Source organism: Homo sapiens, chromosome 8 (assembly GCF_000001405.40).
Source record: "Homo sapiens chromosome 8, GRCh38.p14 Primary Assembly".
In the NCBI taxonomy this organism is placed as follows: domain Eukaryota; kingdom Metazoa; phylum Chordata; class Mammalia; order Primates; family Hominidae; genus Homo; species Homo sapiens.
Window position 1 is genome coordinate 31,060,160 of NC_000008.11, and position 23,044 is coordinate 31,083,203.

The window sequence follows — 23,044 nt, forward strand, 5'->3', positions numbered from 1 at the left end:
TGCAATCTAAGGCTCTCAAAGCATAAAACAAGTAATAAGGAATTCATTCAGATATTTTCCGAGGTGGTTATACCTGTCTTTTAAAAAAAAAATTTTGTTATATATTGGGTTAAAAAAAGCAGAGGTGCTGGGCACAGTGGCTCATGCCTATAACCCCTACACTTTGGGAGGCCAAGGCAGGAGGATTGCTTGAGCCCAGGAGTTTGAGACCAGCCATAGTAAGACCCCCATCTCTACAAAAAAATTTAAAAATTAGCCAGGTGTCTGTGGTCCCAGCTACTCAGGAGGCCTAGGTTTTGGGCCCGAGAGGTTGAGGCTGCAGTGAGCCTTGATCACACCATTGCACTCCAGCCTGGGCAACAGGGCAAAACCCTGTCTCAAACAGACAAACAAACAAACAAAAGGCAGAGGTAGGTTAAGCTATTTATTAATGGTCTTCTACTGGTATAGATATAAGCTAGAAATAACATTCAAGTGTTTTTACTTTTACTACAGTTATCTGGCCACTTTGGGACTCATTATACTGAATTAGTTTCACAGAGGAGGTAAAATCTGTTGTTTATGATTACATATTAACTCTACCATTTTACCTTCAGCATTGCTGTAGTATGTCATATCTGAAGGCAATTAGCACAAGTGACTTGAAGAATTGTAGTTTTGATGACTTATATGTATTTTATAAAAGGCAGGCAGAGTTTTTGTGTTTGCTTTCCCCTCCTCTGGACACTTTAAATTTTTGCTACCACAGGTTTCCAACAATTTGATTATGATGTGCCCTTGTGTAATGTGGTTGGTGTTTATTTGGCTTGGAGTTCGTTGAATTTTTTTGATCTGTGTGGGCTTATACCTTTAATCAAATTTGAAAAATGTCTTCAGATCCTTTTTCCTCCCATCCTGTTATTCTTTTCTCTTTCTGGGACTCTTAGTACACACAAGTTTGATTGCTTGATACTGTGTCACAGGCCACTGAGGCTCTTTCCTTTCAGTCTTTTCTTCTTTCTTCCTTTTTTTCTTTCTGTGCTTCATTTTGAATAGCTTGAATAGTTTTGTTTCCTGTCTTCAAGTTCACTTATATTTTTTTCTTCTGTAGTGTCTGGTCTGTTTATACCATCCTGTGAATTTCTTTTTTAGATACTACATATTTTGTTTATCTCTAGAAGTCCCATTTGGTTCTTAATTTTTTTTTCCATTTTGGCTCTCATTATTCATGTTTCTTTCAAAATTCTTGAACATATTTAGCATATTTTTAATAGCTGTTTTAATGTACTTGTCTGTTAATTCCATTATTCTAGGGTTTTTTTCTTTCTATTGGATGATTTTTCTCCTGATTATGGGTTATATTTTCCTGTTTATTCCTACAGCTGTTAATTTTTTTTTTTTTAATTAGGCATTGTGATCTTACTTTGTGGAATGTTAGATTTTATTGTTTTCCTTTAAAGAAAGGAACTTTGTCAGACATCTAAGTTACCTGAAGATCAACTTTATGTTTTGAAGCTTGTTTTCAAGCTTGATCAGGGAAAGTCTACGTTTGCCTTTAGTCTAAAGGTAATTTAGCCCTATAATAAGATGTGACCCTTCTGGAGTCTTTGTAGACTGCCTCTGGTGATCAACGATCTCTTCTCTGACTTTTCAGAACGTTAATGCCTCTTACCTTTGTGTAAGTCCGTCCTAAGAATCATTCAGCTTATGGTTGTTTGCCCAGCCCCATAGAGTTTTAGTCTATGCATGCTTGTCTTCGTATTCTGCAAAGACCAAAGGAGTCCCTTAGGGAGATTTCTGGAGCTCTTTTCCTGCCTAGCTTCCTCCTCTCCAGAACTCTGCCCCGTGAGTTCCAGGTCCTTCAGCTTCCAGGGCTCTGAACTCTGTCTCCCCAACTCAGTGCTCTCCTTGGGATTCTTCTCCCTGTTCTGTTGTCTGCAATGGGTCCCAGGAAGAATGTGGGGCAACTGTAAGGTTCACCCTTCATTTCCCTTCCCTTAGAGATCATAGTCCTGTACTGCCTGTTGTCTAGTATCTGAAACAGTTGTTTTATATGTTTTGTCCAAGTTTAGATTTGTTTGTGGTGGGAGGGTGAGTCTGGCCTCCCTTGTTATATCATGTTGGCCTGAAGCAGAAGCTGAGTTTCTTTTATTTTTTAAATATAGTTTCAATTTTTAACAACTATTAAATAGGCAAGTATCAACAACAATAGATAACAATATAATAGATATGCATATTCCTCCCACTTTATCAAATCTTAATTTTCTTCAATTTTTTTTTTTTTTTTTAATAGGGTCTCACTCTGTTGCTCGTGCTGGAGTGACAGTGGTGTGATCTTGGTTCGCTGCAACCTCCGCCTCTTGGGCTCAAGTGATCCTCCTGCCTCAGCCTCCTGAGTAGCTGGGACTACAGGCATGCACCATCATGCCCAGATAATTTATATATATATTTTTTTATAGAGATGGGGTTTTTGCCATGTTGCCCAGGCGGTCTCAAATTCCTGGACTCAAGCAATCTGCCTGCCTTGGCCCCCCAAAGTGCTGGGATTACAGGCGTGAACCACTGCGCCTGGCCTGTTTTCTTCAGTTCTTTATTAAGAAATGAAACAGTAAAATACAGCTGAAGCCCCGTGTTTGTTCTTTCTGATTCTCCCTCTGTGCCCCTCTGAGATAACTTCTATGAGTTTTGTGCATTTTTTTTTCTTTTTAATAAAAACAGGGTCTTGCTCTGTTATCCAGGCTGGAGTGCGGTGGCGAGATCATACTCAATGCAGCCTCAACCTTATGGGCTCGAGTGATCCTTTCGCCTCAGCCTCTCAAGTAGCTACAACTACTGGTGTGTGCTGCCATGCCTGGCTAATTTTTTATTTATAGTTTTTAAAGACAGGGTCTCACTATGTTGCCCAGGCTAGTTTTGAACTCCTGGCTTCTAGTGATCCTCCTGCCTTGGTCTCTTACTTAAAGCACTGGGATTACAGGTGTGAGCCACTGGCTGCTCACATGTTTTTTATAATAGTACTTAATAATTTTATGTCTGAAAATATTATATAATGTTATTTTGCCCATTTAAAAACTTTAAAAAATGCTAACAAACTGTGTACTCTGTAACTTGTCTTTTTTACTCAACACTACGTTTTTGAGAATTTTTCTTGTTGATCTGTGTAGTTCCATTTTAACTGTTATATCTTACTATGTTTCATTATGCAACAGTTGGTTCAATCCATTCTCTTGTTAATGGAAATTTAGTTTGTTTCTAATTTTTGCCAGTAGGAACAGTGTTGCAATGCATATTCTTAAACATGTCTGTACACATCTGAGGGTTTCATTTATTTGTGACAAAACTTGCCAGGTCATAGTGTTTATGCACCTTCAACTAGATATTGTCGTTGTCAAAGTTTTTTTCCAAAAGGATTTTACCAATTTATACATGAACCACCGATAGATATCCTCTTAACACGTGGTATTCTGAAACTTAATTTTTACCAATCAGATAGATGTGAAATCACGTAGACTTAGTTTGCATTTCTTTGACTTCTAGTGAGAAGTAGTGTCTTCACATATTTTTTGGATTTTTAAAATTTATTTTTTATTTTTGTTTTTCTTAGAGACAGGGTCTTGAACTTTTACCCAGGCTGAAGTGCAGTGATGCGATCATAGCTCACGCTAACCTCGAACTCCTGGACTCAAGTGATCCTCCTGCCTCAGCTTCCTGAGTAGCTGGGACTACAGGTGTGTGCCACCAAGCCCAGCTAATTTTTAATTTTTTTTTTTGTAGAGACATGCTGTGTTGCACAGGTTGGTCTTAAACTCCTAGTCTCAAGCAGTCCTCCTGCCTTGACTTTCCAAAGTGCTGGGATTACAGGGGTAAACCACCATACCTGGCCATATCTTTTGGATTTATTGGTCATTTGGATTTTCTTTTGGGAATTACCTGTTCATATTTTTCTCCATTTTTCTGCTGAATAATTTGTCTTTTCTTACTTATTTTTCAAGAAATTTTACATATTTTCTGGCTGTTCATTGTCAGTTGTATGTGCTCCAGATAACTTGAACAGTCTGTGGTTGCCTTTTAATTTTTGAATTATGTCTTTAGTTATGCAGAAGTTTAAAATTTTAACATAAATTAATTTACACTATTTTTCTCACTTTAGCATGAGTCTATCAGATGGGGATGTGGTGGGATTTGACATGGAGTGGCCACCATTATACAATAGAGGGAAACTTGGCAAAGTTGCACTAATTCAGTTGTGTGTTTCTGAGAGCAAATGTTACTTGTTCCACGTTTCTTCCATGTCAGGTTGGTATCTCTACATTTCATTTTTATATGGCTGATAATTGTAATATGTCAACTTTATCCCTATAAAATTAAGTTCTTTTATTAGCTGGCCGTTCTCTCATTATCTCAAATTTATTTAAGTATTTATGTTCTACCTGATTCACTCACATTCCTTGTTTTATTTAATTTTCACAACATACCTGTGAGGCATTGACATTTTTTCTGTTTTAGAGAAGAGAAAACTGAAATTTTAAGAGGCTAAATGACCAGGATATGTACTGCTATTGCTAGCAGGAGTGGCATTCAAACTGATTATTTTTTCTTGTCATTTATCAATCAGGACTGTTTGCTTTAGTTAAGAAATACTCAAGGTCAATGTGTTTCTGAATTTAAAATTACTGTTAAATACAAATTTACACATAAACATGGTATGTATAAGAAGTAGGACATAAATCCATCATACTTGACAGAACTTATGGAAATAACAAGAAAATGTTACAGTTTTTCCCCAGGGATTAAAAATGTTGCTTGAAAATAAAGCAGTTAAAAAGGCAGGTGTAGGAATTGAAGGAGATCAGTGGAAACTTCTACGTGACTTTGATATCAAATTGAAGAATTTTGTGGAGTTGACAGATGTTGCCAATAAAAAGGTAAAAGCAATATATATATAATTTTCATGATGAAGATTATTTTGTGTTACACAGAATGTACTTTCTATCTGAATGTTAGATTTTTTTTTGAAAAAGCTTGTTATATAATGTTTTTGTAGCAATAAAAAAGTTCCAAGTGAATGTTCTTTAATGAAAACCTTTATTTATTTATTTATTTTTAACTTTTGTTTCAAGATCGGGGTACATGTGCATGTTTGTTACACAGGTAAACTTGTGTCATGGGGGTTTATCATACAGATTATTTTATCACCCGGGTATTAAGCCTGGTACCCATTAGTTATTTTTCCTGATTTTCTTCCTCCCTCCTCCCACCCTCCACCTCCCACAGTGTGTGTTGTTCCCCTCTGTGTGTCCATGTTTTCTTATCATTTAGCTCCCACTTATAAGTGAGAACATATGGTATTTGGTTTTCTGTTCCTGCGTTAGTTTGCTAAGGATAATGGCCTCCAGTGCCATCCATGTCCCTGCAAAGGACATGATCTTATTTATTTTTTTTATGGCTGCATAGTATTCCATGGTGTATATGTACCACATTTTTTTTAATGCAGTCTATCATTGATGGGCATTTAGGCTGATTCCATGTCTTTGCTATTGTTAAATAGTGCTGCAGTGAACATATGCGTGCATGTGTCTTTGTAACAGAATGATTTATATTCCTTTTGGTATATACCCAGTAATGGGATTGCTGGGGCAAATGGTATTTCTTTCTTTAGGTCTTTGAGGAATTGCTACACAGTTTTCCACAATGGAAAGCCTTTAGTTCTAATCCATGTCTTGGCATAGAGTTTCTTTTCTTTTTTTTTTTTTTTTTGAGGTGGAGTTTCGCTCTTGTTGCCCAGGCTGGAGTGGAATGGTGTGATCTCAGCTCACTGCAACCTCCACCTCCTGGGTTTAAGTGGTTCTCCTGCCTCAGGCTCCTGAGTAGCTGGGGTTACAGGCATGCACCACCATGCCTAGCTAATTTTGTATTTTTAGTAGAGACGGGGTTTCTCCATCTTGGTCAGGCTGATCTCGAACTCCTGACCTCAGATAATCTGCCTGCCTCGGCCTCCCAAAGTGCTGAGATTGCAGGCGTGAGCCACCGCACCTGGCCGGCAGACAGTTTCTTTTTTTCTTTTTGAGACAGAGTCTTGCTCTGTCGCCCAGGCTGGAGTGCAGTGGTGCAATCTTGGCTCACTGAAACCTCTGCCTCCTGGGTTCAAGCGATTCTCCTGCCTCAGCCTCCCGAGTAGCTGGCACTACAGGCGTGCCACCACACCCAGCTAATTTTTTGTATTTTTTTTAGTAGAGACGAGGTTTCACCGTGTTAGCCAGGATGGTCTTGATCTCCTGACCTCATGATCCACCTGCCTCGGTCTCCCAAAGTGCTGGGATTACATACAGTTTCTTTAAGCAAGCCTTCTCTTTTCCTTCCTCCCAGTTCTTGGTACTCTTTCACTTTCATATATTTGCAAATGTAAAATTGTGTTTTAGGTGTATATTTTTAATCCATGTATACCAGTAACTTAAAAAAAAATTTTTTTTTTTTTAAGGGAGAGCATAATGGAGCTCTTGTGATACGGTGCTCTTAGTGGAAGTTTGGCTATCAATTCCATCACCTGTATTTCACATATTTTATTAATGAAGTTCTTAAATTAAATTCTCATATTTAGCCAAGTATTCATTTGGCTGGGAGGTAGAAAGCCTACTAACCAACTTTTTTTCATGAACAATATTTTTAAAGTCCAAGATTTTTAATACCTACATTAGGGAAATTCTAGAATTAAATTCTTACAATGTGGACTGCATATGAGGCTTTTAGTGACAGGGAATTTGTTGAAGGCTATCTGTGGGTTGTATTTTGGTATAACATTTCCTAATTTTATTTGTGGTATGTTCATTTGATATCATTTGGTAATACCTGAAAACAGGAACTGATTTTACTGTGTTGCTTTTTCATCATTTCTAGCTGAAATGCACAGAGACCTGGAGCCTTAACAGTCTGGTTAAACACCTCTTAGGTAAACAGCTCCTGAAAGACAAGTCTATCCGCTGTAGCAATTGGAGTAAATTTCCTCTCACTGAGGACCAGAAACTGTATGCAGCCACTGATGCTTATGTACGTGCTTAAAGATCTTTAGAAATTGTGATGTGTTTTAAAAACATTATTATAAATGACTTTAGAAAAATTTTATTATAGTAGTGGCAGAAACTCTACCAAAATATTTTATATCAATTTGGCATTGAAAAATGCTTAGGAAGACATTTAGTGAAACTATTCATTTTCGATATTAATTAGCAAGTACCAATCAACAGATTGTTCAATGCTAGTTTATTTTCATTGTCATGAAGCCAAATTAATGTCTAATTTGTATGTTAAAAAATGTGAACTTGCTGAAAACATGAAAGGCTAATAAATCCAGGCTGAGCAAGCATAAATAGTACTGATGATGGATTTGATATATAAACAATTCAGAATGAAAATAATTATAGTACAGTTTCTATTTTAAAACTGGCCTTATTTCTTATATATAAAATGTGGTGAAATTTTAGAAAAATTGCCTCCAAATTTAGCTTGTTGCTGCCATTAGATATATTTTTATATTTACATGTTTGTATGTAGTGAAATCTGGGCTTATCTTTATATATAGCACTATTGTGTGTTTTTTAAGAAATGTATTTTATTCCACAGTGAATTTGTTTTCTCCTAACTCATGCTTTCATTTGTAGATGAATATTTTATTGTTTCTCCTTTGCATCTATCAAAGGAATGGAAACTCCTTTGAATTGTAACCAGCAAACAATTCACTTTTGTTAGGGAAATTGGATGATAATTTTCCTTTAAAAGATACCGCCAAACTTGAGACTAACATTCTCAGCTGATTTAAGTAGGATTTCTCTTACTAGATTGCATTTTGTTAGATTCCATTTTAAGTTATTTTATTTGGATATTGTGTGTAATATTGAGTGTGAAAAAGTGAAAACAAACTTTTAAGGCTCAGGCACCTTTCTCAATTTTCACAATTGGTATGATTATTAAATGAGGACATATTGATATTTGTGTCACATAATAGGTTGAATTCCATGTTTGGGTGCTTTGTGAATCATTCTCTTCGATTTTTCTGAAGATGGGACTTACTGTTTTATTTCGGTGATCTTTAGCATACTTTTTAAATTTTTCTGTTTTTTTATAGGCTGGTTTTATTATTTACCGAAATTTAGAGATTTTGGATGATACTGTGCAAAGGTTTGCTATAAATAAAGGTATGTTAAGATCCATAAATAAAATGTGAATTCACTCTTTTGTGAGGTTTATCTCCAAAAAAGGCAATATTCACATATTTGCAAAGCATTTAGTACTATAACTTCTTGAATGTCTGAGCAGTCCTGACATTAGGGTGGGATCCATCAGGGCCCAAGATGAGTGTTTCATCTTTGTTACTTGTGGCAAAGCAGCCCTTACTTCTTTTACTTTGTAGCATTGCTATGTATTTGGCTTCTAGAGTTGGGGCTTTGTGGCTTTCTTATTGCAGTGACACAACCAGCTTTCTCCTAGTCTGGAGATTATACATCCTTGCTATAAGTATTTAAAATGCTTTCTATATAATGCTTTAAAACATGTAAGATGGCTTATCCCCAAGATGGTAGCTAATAAACACTAAGTGATAAAGTAGGTAAAGATCTATTTATTCATTTATTAAATATTGTTGGTCATTTTACAGTGCTTTCTAACATACTGATTTACATTTCTAATTTTCTTCTGTCATTTTTCTCCAAAAATAATGGTCATGTCATCCAACCTCAGTGCTGTTTTTAGAGGTCTTGATAAGCCAGTGAGAGCAGAAGGAGCCACGTAGTAGAGTGGGTGAGCCCAGGCTTTTTGTTGCACAGACCAATGTGAATCCCAGCCATGTGACCTGGGATGTACCTGTTTCTCCAAACATGGAATGTAGATACTAGCATAATGTCCGTTTTACCGTTTTATAGAATAATTGTGAAGACTTAAAGGGACAAACTATTCGAAGCATCTGTATTGATATAAAGTTATCACTATTCTCGTAGCTTCCTTTTGGAGATTTTAAATGATTGTGTTTGTTAAGATGTTAATTAAATTAGGCCATTTTGCTAAATGCTCTTAAAAATATGGCATGACTGCCTCATATAAAATGATATGATATTCTTTATAATTGTCGTTGAGCCTCTGTGGGTGGCAGGCCCTCCTTTATATGTTAAGGTAGAAGAGTCTTTATTCTTACTTCTCCTCCCTGGAGAGCCACTTCCTATGAATGCCTGCTGGTTCTCTGTAGTCAGAGGTCTTGTGGCTGTAACTTAGAGTCAGTCTCCATATCCCTGGGTTCTGCATCTGTGGATTCAACCAACCACAGATTGAGAACATTCAAGCCAAAAAAAAAAATTCACAGTTTTAAAAAAGGAAAAGTTGAATTTCTTGCATGGAGTACCACATTGAATCTATATGAATGAAGTGATGCGTAGGCATTTTATAAGGTATTATAAGAAATCCGGAGATGATTTAAAGTATACAGGACAATGTGTATAGATTATATGCAAATATTGCAGCATTTTATATAAGAGACTTGATCATCTATGGATTTGATATCAGTGGGAGGGAGGTTCCTGGAACCAATCCCTCAAGGATACAGAGGAATGACTGTATGTTAATTAACTGAGGCAGGTGATCGGTTTTTTAAGCTGATTAGGGAAACAGTATATAAGAACTTACTTAACTCATAATAAAACTAAAATTCAACAGGGGAGAGTTATGATTTTTTGGCTTTATGGTTGTGGAATTGCATGTAGGTTACATGTACAATTTTGTTACATGTGCAATTTTGATGAAAATGCTTCCAAGGAATGTTTATGATATTTTTCACTAAAGTAACATATATTAATAACACAGTACTGGAAGTCCTGGTATCTGTGTACTTGTCATTGTAATGCTACATTATTTGACCTTCACTTTTTTTCCCCTTTATTACATTATATGTGTGAGTATATTGTGACATCTTGACTCAGATTCCAGTGAATTGTATTAGGTTGGTGCAAAAATAATTGTGGTTTTGGTAATTTTTAATGGCAAAAACCACAATTACTTTTGCACCAACCTAATAACTAAGATTACCATCTTTTTTTCCTTCCTTCCTCCCTTCCTTCCTTTCTGTTATTCAGCCAGAAGTATCAGCATCACTGTTCTCTTATTTTCTTCATGTACATATGGATGATATTTTCGAATGACCACTTTTCTCTTTTGCTTTTTATTATTAGACTGTTTTTTTCTTCTTGTTAAAGGATAAAAAGATTAGAACATAAAAGGATATTTACACATTGTTTCCCCATTGACTTATTCCCAAGATGGTAGCTAAAAACACCAAATGATATAGTAGTTAAAGATACATTGACTCATTTATTAAATATTGTTGAGCATTTTACGATATGGGAATACCGTAGTGAACAAGCCAGGCATACTCTGTTTCCTGAGGGGCCTACAGTTTTATTGGGGATATAGATGAGTGAAGAAAGCAATTGCAGTGTAGGGAGATGAGTCTTATGTCATGGGAAAACAAGGTGCTGTAGTTGACACACCGAGAGGCATCTGACACATTGGGGGAAATATTCTAGAATATTTCCTGGAGAAAGTGCAGGTAAAAGCCAGACCTGAAACCTGAGCAAGAGTTAGCTAAGGCCAGGTGCAGTGGCTCACGCCTGTAATCCTAGCACTTTGGGAGGCCGAGGTGGGTGGATCACCTGAGGTCAGGAGTTTGAGACCAGCCTGGCCAAAATGGTGAAACACCATCTCTACTAAAAATACAAAAAATTAGCTGAGTGTGGTGACGGGCACCTGTAATCCCAGCTTCTTGGGAGGCTGAGGCAGGAGAATCGCTTTAATCTGGGAGGTGGAGGTTGTAGTGAGCTGAGATTGCACCATTGCACTCCAGCCTGCACAAGAGCGAGACTCTGTCTCAGAAAAAAAAAAAAAAAAAAGTTAGCTAGCTGAAGAGTATAGGAAAGAATGGGTACAGGAAATTACAGGTGCCAAGTTACAGAGGTGAGAGAAATTATGGTATCTATAGGTAATTGAAAGTAATTCAGTATAGTGAACATTGAATAGGGCTGGGCGGATGAAGGCAAAGCAGAAAAAGGAAAGCAGATGGGCCATGGTAAGGAGTTTATATCTCCTCCCAAGAGCAATCGAAGTGACTGAGAGTTTTAAACACAGCAGTGAAGTGAATTACATTAAAAAAATAAGAACTTGGGCTCTAGAATAAAAAACGGATATAGGAGGAAGGCAGGAGTCACAGTAGGAATATCTTTTGGGAGGCTGTGACAATAATCCAAGTGAGAAGTAATGGCAACTTGAGTCGGTTAATTGTGTTGAGAATGGAGAGAAGTTGACAGGTTCAAAATTCATTTTTCTTCTTTTTTTGAGTCTCACTCTGTCACCCAGGCTGGAGTGCAGTGATGCGATCTTGGCTTACCGCAGCTTCCACCTCCTGGGTTCAAGTGATTATCCTGCCTCAGCCTCCTGAGTAACTGGGATTACAGGTGCCTGCCACCACGCCCAGCTAATTTTTGTGTGTTTAGTGGAGATGTGGTTTCGCCATGTTGGCCAGGCTGGTCTCGAACTCCTGGTCTCAAGTCTTCCGCCCACCTCAGCCTCCCAAAGTGCTAGAATTATAGGCATGAGCTACCACACCTGACCTCAAAATACATTTAATAGAGCAAGCATGAGCCACTATGCCCAGCCTCAAAATACATTTAATAAACCAATGGAATTTGAGGTAATGATGAAAGACACATGTCAAGGATCATTCCTGTGTTGTTGGCATAAGCAACAGGGATGAAAAGCATTGAGGAAGAGCAAGATTTTGGGATGCGTTGTCACACAGTTGATTTTAGGTATGTTAAGGGAGGGAGACCTGTAAGACAGCAAAGTGGAGGTGGTGCAAGAATTAGTTGTGTTGGCTGTAGCACAGAGGACAGTTTGAGTTAAGAGAGTTGGGACTGAGAATCCCGAGGAACTCTTAGTGTTGAACATTTGCGTGGAGGAGGGGACACCAAAGGAGTTGCCATAGACATCGAGGAAATTAGGAGGTGTGGTGTGCAGAAAGCCAAGTGAAGAACATGTTTTAAGTAGGAGGATGCTATCAACTGTTTTAAATTCTGCTGAGAGTTTGAGAAACTGAGGACTTAGAATTCATCATTAGATTTGGCAATGCGCCAATCATTTGTAATCTTTTAAACAATAGTTTTGCTGTACTGGGTAGCAAAAGAGTGATTTGAGGAGTGGTCATTTGGAGCATATGCTATTCAAACAGAGAAGAGTCCACGGGCTTTGGTAACATGAAGGTCCTATAACCATAGCAAGAGAATGAGGTGGGTGGAAGTCATATTAACGTGAATAGAGGAGTAGGTTAGATCTGAGGAATGTGGGAACAGAGACAGGGTCTCATTATGTTGCCCAGCCTGGCTCAGACTCGTGGCCTCAAGCGATCCTCCTGCCTCAGCCTCCTGAATACCTCGGGTTTCAGGCCTCTGCATCTGGCTTGAAAACAACATTTTCTCAGAAGCTTGTTTTAGTTGTTTTAGAAATAACGAAGGCATGTGTAAACAACTGTTCTAGAAGCTTAGTTTGGAAAGGGAACGTTTATTGATGCATATAACACTTATATGTTGGGTGCTTATGTGTCAGGCACTGTTAGAGTTGCTCGGGAAAATTTACAAACCAAGCAAACCATGCCCCTTCATTTCCTTTGGGTGAAGTGAGGGAGCCATGTGGTTATCTGAAGGAAGAGCTTAGCAGGATTAGAGGGAAGAAAGTGCAAAGCCTCCTAGGGTGATTGGCTGGCTCTTTTGGAGGAACAGTACCTATAACTGAATGAAATGAGTGAGGGTAAGAGTGGCAGGAAATGAGGCTAGAAAAGGAGCTTGGGCCATATCACGTAGGGCCTCGTAGGCTGTGAATCTGACTTCATTTCTTATTAATGAAAATAAATACGATGATGGGTGATGGGAAACCCATAGAGGATTTGGAGCAGAAGAATGATATAATTAAAATTTTATTTTAGAAATATTTTTCTGGTTGTCGTAAGAGGAAAAATATTTAGCCCCAGGGCATTTTGGCAGAGAGTTAGGAGGCTATTGTAACAGCCCAAGCAATAGACAATAATTGTTTGGATTAGGCGGGTAGCAATAGAGGTGATGAGAAGTCGTAGCTTCTGTAGGTATTTGGAAGATATATATTGTGAAGGATTTGCTGATGAATTCCCTGTAAGGGGTGAGATGTAAAGATTCATAGAACATTAAGATATTTTGGTCAGATCATCTGATCAATGGAAAGGTCAGTTATAGTGGACAGATTATGAGAAGAACAGGTTTGGGTGAGAAAACTTTAGATTTCAGTGTTGGATATCCTAAGTTTTAGATGATTATTGATATCCAAGAGATATCAATATTTGGGATCAATTTGGGAAATATGATCCCAAAGTTCAAGGTTGAGGTTGGAGATGTAATTCAGATCCGATGGTAGTTAAAGCAGTGAGACTGAATGAGATAAAATAGGGAGTGAATGAAATAAAGAGTAGGTGTGATATTGACCTCAAGGGCACACCAGCATTTAGAGGTTGGGAAGATGAGGAGAGAGCAGCAAAGAGGACTGGGAGGGCCACTAATGAAGGAGGGAAGTACAGGAGGTGTTTAGTTCTGAAGCCACCTGAAGAAAATGTTTGGAATAGGAAGAAGTTGTCAGTTGCTTTAAATCATTCGGGGAGGTTGAGTGAGATGAGAGTCTAGAACTAACAGTTAGGTTTGATGGTGTGGAGGCCATCAGTAACCTTTTCTTTCTTTTTTTTTTTTGAGACAGAGTCTTGCTCAGTCACCCAGGCTGGAGTGCAGTGGCGCGATCTCTGCTCACTGCAAGCTCCGCCTCCCAGGTTCACACTATTCTCCTGCCTCAGCCTCCGGAGTAGCTGGGACTACGGGTGCCCGCCACCATGCCCGGCTAATTTTTTTTTTTTTTTGTATTTTTAGTAGAGACGGGGTTTCACCATGTTAGCCAGGTTGGTCTCGATCTCCTGACCTCGTGATCCACCCGCCTCGGCCTCCCAAAGTGCTGGGATTACAGGTGTGAGCCACCGCGCCCGGCCCAAGAGTAACCTTTTCAAAAGCAGCTTTGCTCTACTGATTTGGGTAAAAGCTTAGTTGCAGTTGGTTTGGGAGGAAATGGGAGCAGAAAATTTGAGAGAGTGAGTGTAGACAACTCTTTCAAGGAATTTCGCTATAAATGGGAGTAGAGATCTGAAGACTGAATAATTAGCAAACTGAAAAGTGGGAAGACGTAATTCTCTTATTATTTCATTTTTCTTAGTGAAATAAGAGGTGAAGTTCTCTGAGTAATAGGAGGGTCAAACAGGTGTTAGAAGTTCACAAAGAAAGGAAGAGGTTTGAAATAGTCATTTTGAGAGTGGGAAATGTAGAAGAATTAACAGTCATTGCTGAGGGTGCGTTTGAAATCTGTCATGAGTTTAAAATAACTTGTGTCATCATCGATGTGTTTATTTTCAACTATATTCAACTGCTTGGGTGTAGGCATCAGGTAGGTAAAAAAAGTGGGTTTTATTATGAGTAGAGGTTTTGCCACGTAATTACCATGGAGGGAGGGAAGAGCAAAGGAGTTGAGAGTATAGATACAAAGGAATGATTACTGTAATGTGGGTAAGAGAGGAATGGAAGGCTCAGTGGGCAGTGGGAGTAGGGATGTTGATAGGTAAGGAAAAGGTGATAGGATCAATGCATTTGGTTCTGCAAGTGTCAAAGTATTGTTGGGGAAAGCATGCTGGAAGGAAAGATAGGGATGCTGGTGTTCTCAGGGTGGAAGGCTTACAGTTGTAGTCTGGAAGTGGTGATTTTATTGGCAATTATAAGGTCAACGGTATGACTATGGAATTGAGTGGCTAAGGTCTGTTGAAGAAAAGATTGTCGGAAATGCAGGGGTCAAGGAACTGGCCTGTGGATGTTGAACTCACTGGCAGTGATCAAGGAATAGTAGTGGAGTGAAAGTAGTTAATGAATCAGGCACTAAGATCTCCAAGGGATGAAAGGATGCAGTTTGGAGATGACAAGATAACTGTAGTAATCAGGAATAGCAGGTTTTGTAGCTCTGTCTCATAGGCCTCAGAGGAGATGGGCTTTTGAAGGACAAGAGAAATGATGATGAATAAATTCTAAGCAGGGGAAGTGTTTGGGAAAGCAGGGCAGGCTTTGTGCTGTTGATGGCAAATGATGTACCAGACAGGATGAAGTTGAGAATTTGGAAGTTGATCACTGATTAGAAAGGCTTACATTTTATTTTGGCCGGGGGTGGCAGCTCATGCCTGTAATCCCAGCACTTTGGGAGGCCAAGGTGGGCGGATCCCTTAGGCCAGAAGTTGGAGACCAGCCTGGCCACCATTGCGAAACACTGTCTCTACTAGAAATACAAAAAAAAAAAAAATTAGCTGGTCGTGGTGGCACATGCCTGTAGTCCCAGCTACTCCGGGGGCTAGGGAATGAGAATAGCTTGAAGCCGGGAGGTGGAGGTTGCAGTGAGCCGAGATTGCGCCACTGCATTCCAGCCTGGGTGACAGAGTGAGACTCTGTCTCAAAAAAAAAAAAAAGGAAGGGCTTACATTTTATTTTGGTGCTGACTGGGAATGAAGGCAATGAGGGATGACTGTTGGAGAAGGCTGTGCTTACTAAACAGTATTATTAAGTAGCAGCATACATGGTGTTATACTGACTTCTGATTTTGCAATAGTACAGACAGGTTCAGATTCTCATTTCCACCTTCTCCTTCTGCCTAGGTGAATAACTGCTGGGTTATAGTACAGATGACTGCAGATCATTTGGAATTTACTTTAAATGTAAACAGTAAAAATTTGAAAGAGAGGGAAAGTGATTGAGGCAATTTGGGGATTGAATAAGAAGGTCTTTTTGTTGGAATTCATTTAAGGAAAGAAAATGAAAATTTGATCCCTAATATTATTTAATGAAGTGGCTAAATGAATATCTCTGCTTTGTGGTTTGAAAATTAATATTGATTTTTTTTCCCCCTAGAGGAAGAAATCCTACTTAGCGACATGAACAAACAGTTGACTTCAATCTCTGAGGAAGTGATGGATCTGGCTAAGCATCTTCCTCATGCTTTCAGTAAATTGGAAAACCCACGGAGGTTAAATATTACCTTTTTTTTTTTTAACTTAAATCAATTCTGTTTATTTTTTTATCACATTTTCCTATATGTGAAGAATACTATTCATTAAGGCTGACTCATAGAAATTTGCTTGAATACACACACACAGACTGATGCATAAATTTGAGAAATATCTTTCCAGTTGTTGAATAGTGAATCCAAAGGTTTAAGCCTTTTCTGTCTGCTTTGTAGGATGTTTTATGAAACAAAGGAATAGAAATTGTATTCATATTATACATTTTGAAATTATATCTATATTATATTTTTTGTCAAAGCAAAATAAATTATACATTAAGGAAAATATTTAAGATTCAAAGTTGTCATTTTCTTTCTGTTAATGAGTATCTTTGATTTAATAACATTTATAGTTTGGTCACTTGAAATCTATAGTGACCAAAAGCAATGTCATATTTAGTAGCCTCATTTCTGTTACTATCTGATTATTACTTAAGAATTCTACTTAATTAATAGATTATTAGAACAAAAGGCATTCCAATTTTAGAGATTCTTTTATGGTTAAAGCACTAGGTAACTTAAAAAATTTGGATCAAATGTTATACAGATTAATAGACCTTGGAATACAGGGGCTATGTCTTTTTGGAATCAGACCTTGTCCTGGCCTTAATTGCAGGATGACTTCCTTATTAAATCTCTAAAAGCAGGAATGCTCTGGAACAATGAACAATTAGAATGTGGTAATGTAATTTTGGGCCAAAAAATACTTTGTAGAAATGTGATTCTCTTACTTGGAATAGAAAGAATTCTGACTCGAAAAAGTGCAGTTAATGTATGCTTTTCTGGGTAAGATTTGTGATAGATTTTGATTGAGATTTAAAACCATGATATATAAATTTAGCTTTTTTGTCAAAGTAATTTGCCACCCTAGAATTTGTGTTGGTAATTTTTAATGCAACTTGGACAATTTCTGAAAGATGTAACTTTCTTTTTTTTGAGACGAGTCTCGCTTTGTTGCCCAGGCTGGAGTGCAGTGACATGATCTCAGGTCACTGCAAGCTCCGCCTCCCGGGTTCACACCATTATCCTGCCTCAGCCTCCCGAGTAGCTGGGACTACCGGCGCCCGCCACCCCACCTGGCTAATTTTTTTTTTATTTTTAGTAGAGACGGGGTTTCACCGTGTTAGCCAGGATCGTCTCGATCTCCGGACCTCGTGATCTGCCCGCCTCAGCCTCCCAAAGTGCTGGGATTACAGGCGTTAGCCACCGCGCCCAGCCTGAAAGATGAACTTTAAAATGGGGAAGGATACTAGTAAAGCCATTTCTTACTCATGTATACATTTTTCCCTCCATGAAATTAGAGCAGCCACCTTTTACATGACTTTTACATGCATTTCAGATTTTTGTACTAGCAATTAAAATATCTACTGGATGTAAATCACATGTGCTTAATGCTTTGCTTCATAATATCTGTTGAAGTCAATTAAAATATAGAGACAGATCTTTAAATTGAACATGTTTTATTTGGGAAGCAAGAATTAAATTTGAGGCATATACACAGACTGGGTGTCCTTGGTATCTCTGAAGAACAAAGAGAAGTTTGGAGGTTATAGAAAAAGGAAAATGTGACATTGTTTTTCCAGAAAGTTCTTTGGCACTAGTAAATTTTGGGGAGTTGGAAGCTCTGATGGGTTAGTGACTGTGGTGGGTAAAACTAGTCTTAGAGTCACAACAGGTTGTTTCAGTATCTATTAGATAAAACAGGTTTTAGGTTACAATAGGCAGTTTCAGCAGCTAGGCTTGCAGAAAATTACATTCTTAGAGTAATGTTATGTGCCTTGAGTGCTTTTTTCCCCTTGGCCCTTGACTCTGATTTAGTTGGGTATGACAAGAATTATCAATTTATATAATTACTTTTTACATATTGAAGCTGAATAGGTTTTCTTAAAACTTGGAAATGGGAAATACTGGGTCTTGTGAAGTTTTAGTGTGAAAACGATAACTAGTCTCTTATTTCATGCTCTTTGTAACAAGTCTACAGTAATACCTAATGTATCTAGATGACACCTCAGAACCAGGAGGGAACAAAAAAGACCTCTGAGCAGTCAAAATAATGCTATAAGCATGTATTCCAGCTTACTTTCGGCATTTCTGTGGAGTGCAGGAGGCCACATTTTGTTCATAGATCCAGTTTGACAAGCTTGGGTACTGAGTTAAAGTGAAAATGGTGTAAATAAGTAATCATATTCACATGACAGTAGGTGGAAGTGACAGCTGACAATCTGAAAGAGTGGACAAAACTATAAAAATTAGAACTAAGAACTCTTAAAATAGAACGGTTTGAAGTTTGTTACAGAAGGGAGCAGCTTTATGCTTCAGTGGACTCTGAAGGTATTGGCAGTGTATAGTACTGCTTAGTCATTGATTTAAATTCGGTATATATCTCTTCTATTGCTGTCATGTACTTGACATTCTGCTGGGTGCTAAGGCTGTCTGCAGGCTACTAATATGCATAATAACAATCCTGAAAAAGAAGGAAAAGTATACTGTGCCTTACTGAAGAAGGCAGGACAGCCGTTGGTATTTGTTAGAGTAAATATTAGTTATCTTACATAAAGCATGTTATATTCCCTGATGTCAGGGCCTGATAAATGAGCCCTTACACTCTTGATAGTCAATCTGTGCCACTGTTGCTGTGTTTGTATGTTACACCATTTCCTGTCCATGTAACAGTTAAACTGTATCACATATCTGTTCCTACTAAACTATTTGCATATAATTTTAACATTTGAGTGGCTGTATATAAAGCTAAAAGTTCTTTATAAGATTTATAGCATCTTAGAATGTTTAAATTAGATAACATTAGTGTGCTTTTAGTTTTTGAATTTAATTTTGCTCTTGATTTTGTTTGTGTTAATGTAGACTTTGTCTACGTAAGCTTGAGCCCAACTTTGGAGTGGTGTTTTCAGTGATGGAAGTAACTGGAAATAACTCATGAAACCACTTAGTACTTTTGATAGTTTATTCCCATGAAGGATCAAATTTTTACTTGAGTCATTAATATAAAAATTTAAAAGACATGTCAGATTTTATTAAGCATGGATTTTAAATATATAAATATTAGAAGACCTAAACAAAATCGCTAATGAAAGAGTAAAACATGTCCCTGCCTATCATACTCCCTTCACTTTCACTGATTTCTGCTTTTATGAAGTACTTTAATAAGCTCTACAACAAATAAACAAGACATTGTGCCTCATTTTACACTCTAGCAGTGGTTTTCCATTCCAACTAACTAGATTGGGTTTATAATATAGTCATTTAAACTTACTTAGTTAAAATGTTATACATTAGCAACTGCAATTAAGGAGCTAAGAAATTCAGCTCGTATTTATTTATATGCATCTTATCCATAGTTTCTCACTTGTTATATTTGCCTACTGATGGCAAATTGATTTTTTCTGTTCCAAAAATGTAGTGTTTTGAGATTTTTGGAGATGCAAAACAGCATCATTTTCAAATTAGATCACAAACAATCTTACTTGTTGCAGTTGAGACTAGTAATTGATCAGTGAGGTGAAAAAATTAGGCAAAACGGTATCATCAAAATTTTCTTTCTTTTTTTTTTTGAAACAGAGTATTGCTCTTGTCGCCCAGGCTGGAGTGCAATGGCACGATCTCAGCTCAGCTCACTGGGGCCCCTACCTACGGGATTCAAGGGATTCTCCTGCCTCAGCCTCCTGAGTAGCTGAGATTACAGGCGCATGCCACCAAGCCCAGCTAATTTTTGTATTTTTAGTAGAGACAGGGTTTTGCCATGTTGGCCAGGCTGGTCTGGAACTTCAGACCTCAAGTGATTCACCTGCCTCAGCCTCCCAAAGTGCTGGGATTACAGGCATGAACCACCGTGCCCGCCCCAAATTTTCTTTTAACTTAAAGTGTTAATGTTTGTTTGTTCCCAATATTTTTATATATGTCAAGGCTTTTTCATTATATACAGGCCAGCTCTTTGGAGTTCTGCATAGTGTTTCTTGTTTAAACCACACCTATAATGTACCATCTACAATTTCCAATTCTTTAAGACAGAGTGAAAAATTAAGACACCTGAAGCAATCTGAGTGCGGAGTCCTAGGCATTATGATTTTCCTTGACACTTTTAGGGTTCTTTTATCACAGTTTATCAAACACCTTTTTTTTTTTAACAAAAAACAAATTTACAAAATCTTTCCATGTATTCAACTTAGAATTTAATGAAATAGGGTTTTTTTTTTTTTGGTGGTCATGTATCATCAACTTTCTTTACATTTAATTAAATTAATCAACAAAAAACATATAGTTGACATAAACAAATTTGGGACCAAGCACTACTGACTCTTAGTAAACATACAAGTCAACTGTTGGTGCAGAAGTGCCTTGATGCTAGAGAGTAGCCTGCAAGCTGTAATTATATATGGGCATTAGGGAATGAAGAACAGCCTTAATACTATTGATCTTTTAAGTGAAGGTCAGCTTAGAAAGCTTTTACTTGTTAAAAAGCTTCACAGTTTGTCCTTGTAGTTAATGCAATTGAAGTTGAATTAATCTTTCTTAATTTTTTTTTTAGGGTTTCTATCTTACTAAAGGATATTTCAGAAAATCTATATTCACTGAGGAGGATGATAATTGGGTCTACTAACATTGAGACTGAACTGAGGCCCAGCAATAATTTAAACTTATTATCCTTTGAAGATTCAACTACTGGGGGAGTACAACAGAAACAAATTAGAGAACATGAAGTTTTAATTCACGTTGAAGATGAAACATGGGACCCAACACTTGATCATTTAGCTAAACATGATGGAGAAGATGTACTTGGAAATAAAGTGGAACGAAAAGAAGATGGATTTGAAGATGGAGTAGAAGACAACAAATTGAAAGAGAATATGGAAAGAGCTTGTTTGATGTCGTTAGATATTACAGAACATGAACTCCAAATTTTGGAACAGCAGTCTCAGGAAGAATATCTTAGTGATATTGCTTATAAATCTACTGAGGTACTAAATAAAGAGGAAGCACATTTTTAGTTATTAGTAGGTTCTGGCAGACTTTATTCCCGTAAAGAGACAGATAGTAAATATTTTAGGCTTTGTGGGACATACAGTCTCTGTTGCAGTAACTCAGTTCTGTTATTGTAGTGTGAAAGCAGCCACAGACAAATGTAAACAAATGTGCCTGTCTTTCAATAAAACTTTATCTACAAATACAGATAGTGGGCCACATTTGGCTTGCGAGCTGTAGTTTGCTGTTCCTGACTTAGTATGATATGCAGCATTGTGTAGTGGAAAGATTTTATAGTATCAACAGACATTTGTAGGAGTTTGCTATTTTATAATTTCGTATGCTTTTTTCATAATAGATGTCTCTGCTTTTTGTGGATTCTCTTCATATCTACTAGTGTTTACTCTTCTGACTTTGATTTTTGGGGGTGTATTTTATTTCTTTATACAGAATTTTTTTCTTTTTTCTTTCTTTTTTTGAGACAAGGTTTTGCTGTGTCACCCCAGCTGGAGTGCAGTGGTGGGATCTTGGCCCCCTGCGGTCTTCAACTCCTGGGCTTAAGCGATCCTGTCACCTCAGCCTCCCTAGTAGCTGGGACCACAGGCCTGCACCACTACACTCAGCTAATTTTTGTATTTTTTGTAGAGATGGGGTTTCGCTCTGTTGCCCAGACTGGTCTCCAACTCCTGGACTCAAGTGATCCACCTGCCTTGGCCTCCCAAAGTGTTGGAATTATAGGTGTGAGTCACTGTGCCTGGCCCAGAATTTCTTTACTTGCTCATGTGAGAGAGTTTCTAATAAACTCCTGATGCTTTTGCTTGACACTATAGTTTTACTGTCATCTCAGAGTCAGATTTTTTCCTTAATTTCTTCATTAAATTGATTTCTTAATTTCTCATTTGTTTTGCATTAGTTTACAAAATTACTTAAGATGCCTATATTCTCTGAAATTTTATATTTTATTTCACGATAAATAAGTTTAAAAAATTAGATTTGACCATTTAATTAGAGTTATTTCCCCATCATTTTTCTAATGGCAACAATAATTTTAGCATTTGAGCAATTCTCTGTATTTTGGTAACTATTAGTAATCACTTTTATCAGTATAAACATGCATTTCATTTTAAAATGGTTTTCAAAATATTCTCATACCAACCATTCATAAAAGATGTTCCCCTTCTGGGAAATATCAGTTTTTGCTAACATCTGCATTTCCCTTTGATTTTCTAGGAATTTCTTATTAGGTATACACTTTAAGTGATATGTTTCATATAATATTATAGGATTATCAGGATTTCATGATTTTTTTTTTTTGAGATGGAATCTATCTCTGTCGCCCAAGCTGGAGTGCCGTGGCGCAGTCTTGGCTCACTACAACCTCTGCCTCCCCGGTTCAAGTGATTCTCCTACCTCAGCCTCCCGAGTCACTGGGATTACAGGTGCCCGCCACCACACCCGGCTAATTTTTGTATTTTTAGTAGAGAAAGTGCTGGGATTACAGGTGTGAGCCACTGCACCTGGCCTTGGATTTCGTGATTTGACTGACATCTTTTACACCAATTATTGCCATTTTTTTATTGGGTACTAATTATTAGTATTGCTTTCTTTATTCGTTAAATAAGAAGTAAAAGAACTTTTAAAAAATAAAATAACTTTTTTTCCTAGTACAAAGCTTATTTTCAATTTTTTTTATTGCTTAAATTTTGCAGGTTAATTAAGGCTGTACTTCTTTTTCCTACTTCCTGTTTAAATATTTGGCATTTTTTGAGGGTTTTCTTTCTATGGATTTTTGTGGGGGATCCCATCTCGTTGGACACTTGGTTCCTGGAGATTGCCAAATTATTGAAAAGTTTCCTCATACCCAAACATTGGCAATAGACTGAATAAATAACATCTCTGACAT

At 37.5% G+C, this 23,044-nt stretch overlaps 1 protein-coding gene across 5 annotated transcripts in view; it reads left to right on the plus strand.

Moving 5' to 3' along the window:
- Positions 1-23,044, plus strand: part of WRN (WRN RecQ like helicase) — a 142,329-nt gene that overhangs the window by 26,350 nt on the left and 92,935 nt on the right. For all 5 annotated transcript variants that reach the window (XR_949472.4, XR_949471.4, XR_949470.4 and 2 more), the window contains exons 4-9: positions 4,130-4,275; positions 4,756-4,904; positions 6,874-7,023; positions 8,099-8,168; positions 16,014-16,128; positions 20,708-21,137. Coding sequence is in view for 2 of the 5 variants with exons in the window: in NM_000553.6 (NP_000544.2) it covers positions 4,130-4,275; positions 4,756-4,904; positions 6,874-7,023; positions 8,099-8,168; positions 16,014-16,128; positions 20,708-21,137 (1,060 nt within the window). In the remaining 3 variants the exon portion in view is untranslated. The remainder of the gene's footprint in view (positions 1-4,129; positions 4,276-4,755; positions 4,905-6,873; positions 7,024-8,098; positions 8,169-16,013; positions 16,129-20,707; positions 21,138-23,044) is intronic.